We start from the raw sequence: 8,826 nt of genomic DNA, 5'->3' as shown, positions 1-8,826 counted from the left end.
AGCCACTTTGGGTCTCTGATGGAGTCTACCTGGGATCAGGTGGTGGAGAGGACTTCAAAGAAAATGGGAAGAAGGTTTGGTTAGGGGACTTAGGAGAGAAGAGAGTGGAAAAGGTATAGGGAGGTTCCCCAGACCCAGTTCTCAGCCTTCCCCACTCTCTTCACCAATTTACTTAACCAACCCTCATTAAGAACTTAACATGTGGCTGGGCGTGGTGGCTCACACCTGTCATCCCAGTACTTTGGGAGGCAGAGGTGGGTGGATAACTTGAGGTCAGGAGTGAGGTGGGTGGATCACTTGAGGTCAGGAGTTCAAGACCAGCCTTGCCAACATGGTGAAACCCTGTCTTTACTAAAAATACAAAAATTAGCCGGGCGTGGTGGTGCACACCTGTAATCCCAGCTACTCAGGAGGCTGAGGCAGGAGAATCGCTTGAACCTGGGAGGTGGAGGTTGCAGTGAGCTGAGATTGCACCACTGCACTCTAGCCTGGGTGACAGAGTGAGACTGTCTCCAAAAAAAAAAAAAGAACTTGACATCTTAACATGTGCCAGGCAACTTTCTAAGCACTTTATATATATTAAAGAATTTACTCTTTAAAACAACCCATTGAAGTAGGTATTATCATTAACCCTGCTTCACAGACAAAGGCACAGAGAGGATAAACAACTTGTTCAAGGTCTCACAGTGATGAACGGAGCCGGACTGGACCCAGGCAGTTTGGCATCAGAACCCATGAATTCACCACTGCACGCTGCTGGATTTTGCCTGATAGCTAAATTCCCTCTGATTTCCTCCTCCTTCTTCCTGAGCCAGCTCTGATATGGTTTGGCTGTGTCCCCACTGAAATCTCATCTTGAATTCCCACGTGTTGTGGGAGGCACCTGGTGGGAGGTAACTGAATCATGAGGGCAGGTCTTTCCCGTGCTGTTCTCATGACAGTGAGTAAGTCTCATGAGATCTGATGGTTTTAAAAAGCAAAGTTTCCCTGCACAAGCTGTCTTCTCTCGTCTGCCACCATGTGAGATGGGTCTTTCACCTTCTGCCATGATTGTGAGGCCTCCCCAGCCACATGGAACCGTAAGTCCAATAAACCTCTTTCTTTTGTAAATTGCCCAGTCTTGGATATGTCTTTATCAGCAGTGTGAGAACGGACCAATACACGCTACTTCCTCATGGGCCCTGCTCCTTCCTCCCTGATAATTTATTCTGGCCAGGACCTTGCCCTCCATCATTATACCTGGAGAGACTGAAGTCAGAAAGATGGAGGAAGCTTCGTTATTTATCCTGGCCCATCTCAGATAAAGCAGCATTTGAGGACCCCGTGTGGGTTCAGTGGTGATCATAGATTGCTTTTTAAAAAAATTAGTATTTTAGTATCATTTTAACGATTTATGGAAATACAGCAATCGGTTGTTTTGCTCCAGAGCTGCAGCCACTAGGTCAGAATCAGAGCCTAGTTAATCATGAGGCCATGGGGCAGTGACCTGGAGCACCCGCCTATATGGAATTCCACACATCTTTGGAATAAATTGCGAACTAACTGAGGTTTCCTCACCAGACCCTGTATGTGGCAAGTAGAATGTCAATGAGTCCTACTTCTGCAACACCCTCAAAGGGAACACTGCACAACATCTTGGACATAGGTTATTTCTTTTACTCCGAATAGCAGTTCTATGAAGTATGCATTACGATGTGCATTTTATAGATGAGAGAATTAGGCTCAAGGAGGCTCAGCAATCTGTCCAAAGTCACAGCTAGTAAAAGGCAGAGCTGGAGTGTCACCGTGGAGTTGGCTGTGTCCAGGGCTTGTGGTTTTAATGTCCTTCCTCTGCTGCCCAAGGAGATGGATAGTGGGGGAAGAGACGGCCCGCAACAGTTCCTCCTCCCTCTCCATCTCACAGCCAACGTGGGGCAAAAGTGCCTGCAGTGAACTTAGGTCTGTGGCTCATAATAAGTACTTGCCTGTTATGGGGGTGCAAGCATCATGATTGGAAGAAAATGTAAAGGAAAGAAGACAAGAAGTCTTCAAGAAAGAAGTGGCATTTGAATGAGGCCTTTGATACAGGGAAGGGCCTATCTCCATTTATGACTGTGCGCACATGAGTGGGTTCATTCACTTACGATTTCCTGAACCCCTACCATGTGCCAGATCCTATGCTGGGCACAGAGTACACATTAGTGAGTAGAAGAGGCATTGCCCTGCCCTCTGTAAGCTACAGTCTGTGGCAGCACTGTCCAAGGGAAGTTTCTGGGCCGATGGAAATAACTCACGGTGTTCAGTGCAGTAGCCACTGGCCACATGTGGTTACTGCAGGTTTGAAATGTGGCTAGTGTGACAGGAACTGAATTTTAAATTCTTTAAATTAATTTTTTTATTTAACTTCAGTTAATTTAAATCTAAATTTAAATAGTCACACGAGGCCAGTGGCTATGCTATTGGACAGTGCAAGTTTAGAGGGAAAGACAGACAGTAAACATAAAGAAGTGCTTATGGTGATAAGTGCTATGCAGGAGGCAAGATCCAGTGGATGAAAATAATGGGGAGTGTCCTATTTAGATTAAGTAATCAGAGGAGGCCTCTCTGAGGAGGTGACGTTTCAACAGAGACCTAGAAGATGAGTGTGGGCCATAGGAAGAGTCAGGGGCAGAGGGAACAGTGGGAGAGAGGCCCTGAGTAGGAGAGGGGTGGGTATACCTGAGATAATGCGAGGAGGCCAATGGGTGAGAGTGTCGTGGGCAAGGGGAGGGGATGCAGGAGATGAGGGCAGGGCATGAGGGGAGCAGGGTCTGATCACGTAGGCTTGTAGGCTCGGGTAAGGAGCCTGCACTTATGTAAAGTGCAATTGATGTCACAAAAAGGTCTCTTGCTCCGACTGCCACAGATTGTAGGTGGTAACAGTGGAAGCAAGGACCTCAGGGAGGAGCTATAGCAATGGCCTGGGGTTGGGGAGATGGGGGCACGGAGTGGAGTGATGGCTTTGGAGGTGAGGGAACTGACTGAACTCAAGACATACTTTCAAGGCAGACATGGCAGGTAGCCTGGCTGTGGAGGGTGAGGAAGTTGCTCAGGTTTTTGGCCCGAGCCACTGGGCAAATGGTGGAACCATTTTCAGAGAAGAGAAAGTTAAGAACAAAAAAATCAAGAATCCAGGCAGTCGGATGGTCATCCAGATGGTTGCTGAAGTCGGAGGGAAGCTGAGTGTTTATCTGATTATGTTGTGTCTCTGTGGGCTGAGCATGTGAGCACAGTCTGTGTGGGCGAGTATGCATTGATGTTTGTACACATTTTTGCTTTGGGTAAAGTATATGCATCCATTTGGGGTGGGGTGAGTGTGTATGCACATGAAGGTCTGTATTTGGATGACTGTATAGGAATGTCCGCACACATCCATGCAGGTGTGGGTGGGGTCAGTGTGTGTGAGTGTGTACCTCTGTGTGTGTCTGCGTGTGTGGTGAGAATGTCTGTCTCGGGTTCAGGGTGAGCCCAGGCCTGGTTTATCTCTGTGAGACGCGTATAAGTGAGGTTTGTGTGTATGCGTCTGTGTGTATGCAGGGTGAAGGCGTGTGCATGTATGTGGGGTGACTGTGTGCAAGTTGGTGTACATGTGTGGATGCAGCAAGTGCGTATCTTCATGCATGAGGGTGGAGCTGCATGTAGTTGCACACTTCTTCCTACATGAGGCATGAGTGTGTGTGTAGGGTCTGTGTATGCACATCTATTTGGGGGATCATATGCACAGACCTGTGTGTATCTGTCTATGGGGAGAGTGCATGCACATAAGTGTACAGGCATGGAAGGAGGATGTTCCAGGGATGGGTGTGTATGGGGGTGTGTGCCCATTTGTGGGCCTCGAGTGTGCCTGCCTGTCCCCTTTGAAGCTCCTGTGACTGCAAGTCACAGAGGCAGCAGCTTGCAGAGCGTGTTACGTCATGTTTATAGGTCTTTCAACCTTAATGCATTTTAAATTTCCAACCCAAGGTGATCCCAGTGGATGGCAGAACCATTTGTTCCTTGCTCTGATTTAAAAAGAAAGTTTCCAGAGTAGGATCCCTTCTGTCTCCAGCCTGGCAGTCCTGCCTGATTCTTTGACTCTTCAGTGGAAGGAGGACCCAGACGTGGGTCCCCAAACAGTGCAGGTGGATGGGGACATGGGAAGCGAGCTGGGGAGAGAGGCTCTTTGAGTGTGGAGAAAGCGGAGGCGTAGAGGCTGGAGTGGAATGGGAACAAGGAGGTGGGAAGAAATCAGACCCTCTCCTCACTAGGGCAGGCCCAGGACACAAAGGCTTGCAGACCTAGTCTCTTTTGCATACCCTCTTTCTTTCTTGTCTGCTTGAGGATTGGCACTGGGCCTTTTGCTTCTCACACTACACACACTCCATGAGCAACTTGACCTCTAGCTGCTCAAGGCAAACCCTGATACCATAAATCCCTTTCCAAGCTGCCCTGGGCACCTTCTGGGACCCCTCCTGTGTGCCTTTGTCTACCATGAGTGTCCACCACTTTCCTTTCATTATACTCCAAGTCGCTGTGGTGATGTCTCCTGTTCCTATTGAAGCCCAGCATATCAGCTGTGTCCCCCAGACAGAAGGGGCCACAACTCCTGCTTGTCACAATGTGTGCTGAGGGCCTGAGGGGCTGCTCCCAGCTCAGCTGCTTGCAGAGACCCACGGAGGTAGGAGAGAAACAACTCAAACTTCAACTTGTAAAGGTGAGGAGCTGGAGGCCACCTTGTGCCAGATCTCAGGGATGAGGTGGTTGGGGTTGTGCTGCAGCACACACCAGAGCTGGAGTGACACACCAGAGCTGTGCTAGAACCTCCTCTACGGTCATCTTTGGACCAAGTTTGGACCTCAGTTTTCCTTTCCCTTTGATGAGTTTTCCCTCCGTCATGGCAACAGCTCCTGGTGGGCCTGCCTCACCCCTTCTGCAGATGTACTAGAGTCCAAGGATGCACATAGATTGAACCCTGTGTCTCAGACCTCTGCATTCGTTGATACCGCCTCTCTGGTGATCTCACTTGCTAGCCATTTGGGTCTCATTTGAAACAGATATTTATCATAACACATTTTTCTGGCTTTGAGTCAAGCATGGGCTGGGTCTGGGGCTTGGAACTGAATGCCATAGGCGTCTCTTTCTTTACCGTTGGTCAGCTGTAGACTCACAGGATGGACCTCTCACCCCACCAAGGGATAAGCCTACAATCTGGGGTCTCCTTAACATCCTTTCCACCATGGGGCTTCCTGGACCAGGTCTTGTCATGTCCCTTGAACTTACCTTGTAGGAATTCTGTCTATGCCCCAGCTGGTAAGGAGGCAGGAGAATCATCAACAAAGACCTGGGGATGTGTCTTTTGGAAACATAAGGCACCTTAAAGCCAAGCTGATGAACCTTTTTTTTTTTTTTTTTTTTTTTTGACAGAGTCTCGCTCTGTCGCCCAGGCTGGAGTGCAGTGGTGCGATCTCGGATCACTGCAACCTCCACCTCCTGGGCTCAAGCTATTCTCCCATCTCAGCCTCCCTAGTAGCTGGAATTACAGTTGTGCATCACCACGCCTGGCTAATTTTTGTATTTTTAGTAGAGACAGGGTTTCGCCATGTTGGCCAAGCTGGTCTCAAACTCCTGGCCTCAAATGATCTGCCCGCCTCGTCCTCCCAAAGTGCTGGGACCACAGGTATGAACGACTGCACGCGGTCTTTTCTTAAATAAGAAAAATGGTCTTACTGTTTTCGTAGAAATAGTGTCTAACCACTGTGGAGTAGGACAGCTTGATGGCTAAGCACACGGACTCTGGAGCCAGGCTGCCTGGGTCTGACTCCTGTCTTTGCCACTTACTGGCTGTGTAACTGTAGGCAAGCTATTTGACCTCCGTGTGCCTTAGTATTCCAGTCCTGTAAGATAGAGGTAATAGCAGTATTCACTTTGTAGCATTGTTGTTAGGATAAGATGAGTTAACATATATAAGGGATTTACTGGAGTCTGCAGCACAGAGTAGGTATAATAGATGCACCTTCATTATTATTCTTGAACACTTTCAATGCAGAAGAAAGCAAAATTGACACCAAATGCTATCACCCAGGGGACCTTCATCCAGAAATCTCTCTTGGGGCTAAAACACACATAGTTTTATATAAATGTGATTTATGATATGTATTGTTCACATACCTTTTTTTCTACTTAACCATATGTCTTAGAGATTTTTTCATATCAGTCCCTATAGATCTACTTCATTCTTTGAAAATTAGTATTAATGAGCTACAATTTATTTGCCTGATCTATCACTGACTTGTGGGCATGAAGGTTGTTTTCAATTTTTCTCTATTGTAAACAATGCTGTGTATATATGCTATGCATATGTCTTCTTTTGCATTTGAGCTGTTATCTCCTTGGGCTGAATTCTAGAAGTGGGAATGCTGGGTTAAAAAGTACGCACATTTTACATCTTGATATATGTGGCCAAGTTGCCCTTTGGAAAGGTTGTCTCAGTTCCCAGTTTACACTCTTTCTGTCCTCTGTCTGTGACGTCTTCTTGTTGAACCTTTTTCATTTTGATTCTGGGTCTCCCATTATGTCCCCCTTGTGCCCTGAGGTAAGGCCACCTAGATGCAGAAGGAAGCTGGATGAACACATTTTTTTTTTTAAATTGGTCCACGAGATCACAAGCTGCCAGGAAAGTGTTGCCACTGAAGGCACTTTCTGATGTGGCCGTTGAGGGACCTGTTGTGCCACTGCAGTTCTTCCTGAAGCAGAAAGGGCGAACTATGAAGCATGAGGAAGGCTGTTGAAAAGTGACTTTGATGAATGTTAAGCATTGTTCTCTCCAGGCTGCAGATCGAAGCAGCCCGGTTGATTTTACTGGATTTTGCATGTGAACAGAGGCTTGGAGTGGCAGATTGCCCTTTTCAAAGATGGCCACAACAATAGCGTCCATGCCATATGTTTGTGTACAGTGGGACCTTGCCATGACCCATCAAGAGGTGGAGTCTAATTCCCTTCCTCTTGAATCTAGGCTGGCTTGTGACTGCTTCGACTAATGGAGTCTGGTGGAAGAAATGCCCTTCTTGAATTCCAGAACCACGAATTTGGGAGTAAAATAAAATGGTGGTCATTCTACATTTTGGGGGTCATCTATTACACAACCATAATACCTGGAACATTTAGCTACTGCTCACTGGGGAAGACAGTCCAGTGAAATGCAGCAGTTTTCAACCTTGGGATACCTGAGAATCAAGTGGAGCTCTCATGAATGATGCAGATTCCTGGGTTCCACCTCTAGAGGTTCTGACTCACAGGACTTAGGGTGGGGCTGAGAAATCTGCATTTTAAAATGAGCACCCTGGAAAATTCTGACACTGGGTAACCAATCGAAAACTTTGGTGAATCATGTAAGAGCAAAAGCTAAGGAGCCAGAAAGACTTGGATCTGAATTCTGGTTCCGTGGCTACCATCTCGCTGTGCCTTTGTTCCTCATCTGTAGAGTGCAGGCAGTCATATTTCCTACTTCATGGTGGTATTGAAGGGTTAGATGAGATAATGCATGTGGTCCTTATCATAGTCCTGACACATAATGAATACAAGGAAATAGTGTTTGACATTGTAGCTTCATGGGGCAAGGATTCTTAAGGGATTCCTCCCTGTGCTTTGATATTAAATAGAAAATGTTGGTTTGGGTGTATTTAAGTAGGAATGGGGCCCATAGTTTTAATCAGATTCTCAAAGAGTCCTATATCTAAAGAAAGTTGAGAATGCTCAAGAGAAAGTTTCTGCTGTTTGACCTGGCTCCAGCCCCAAGAGCCCCTTTTCCTTCTAACTGAAGTCTCTTGACCATACCCATGGGGTTGGCTTCATCCCAGAGCATGGAAGAATGACTTTCATGTGTCCTAGTTTCACTTTCTGGGACTCAGTGAAAGTATAAGGTGGTTGGAACAGCATGGACAAAGATCTGGAGGTGGGATTGAGCTGGAGTCCACAGGTGGCAGCAAGCTGATATTCAGAGAAAGAGGTAGTTTAGAGTCTGATTACCAGTATTTAGAATGTCAGGTTAGGGAGTGAGGAAGTAGGGAGGCAAGGCAAACCTCTGAGCAAGAAAGTGGCAGGATCACCACTGCGATTCAGCAAGGCATCTCTGTGATGCTGGTTGAGGCAGGATGGTGGCCTGGTTGTTAAGGCAAGGGAAGAACCCTGGATTCAGGAACAGGCTCAGTGCAAAGGCAAACTGTGATATTCCTTCCTGGGAGTTTTGGAAGAGCTGGTAGCAGCTGACTGCTTCTATACCTCCCCTGCCCGGGCATGTATGGTTGATGGAAGAGCAAAGGACTCCATTCTTTGGGCTGGAATGCCAAGGCCTGGGTGGTGGTGTAGCAGAGGGAAAATTAAACTCCTGCTGTGTCCTTGAGTAAGCCGCTCCTCCTCTCTTGGCCTCAGTTTTCCCATTAGTAGAATAAGGGGTTAGGAGACCTGGGTAGGTTTGTGACTGCTTCATCCTGTTTCTTGGAGTCCTGCTATCATACAGTAGGAATGGCAGGCGTGTTTTAACTTCTGTGCCACTGCTGCTTGGAGTGTGTGCTGTGTTGGATTCTGAAGTGGAATCTGGGCTCAGTGGGAAAGGGCTCTGATAGATTAGCAATGCCTGCCCTGGTTGTGACTTGGGCAGTGGCCTGTCTCGTTAATGCCCCATCATATGGAAACCTTATGTTCACACGGCATGACTCTAGTCACTCAGGTTAACATCGTCACAATTTTTGCTCTATCTATATACCACCTCAACTGACTTAATTAAAAAATTAATATATCTTAAAAATTGACTTACTTTGACATTATATTGAT

This window comes from Homo sapiens, chromosome 1 (assembly GCF_000001405.40).
Source record: "Homo sapiens chromosome 1, GRCh38.p14 Primary Assembly".
Taxonomy (NCBI): domain Eukaryota; kingdom Metazoa; phylum Chordata; class Mammalia; order Primates; family Hominidae; genus Homo; species Homo sapiens.
This window is presented reverse-complemented; position numbering follows the sequence as displayed.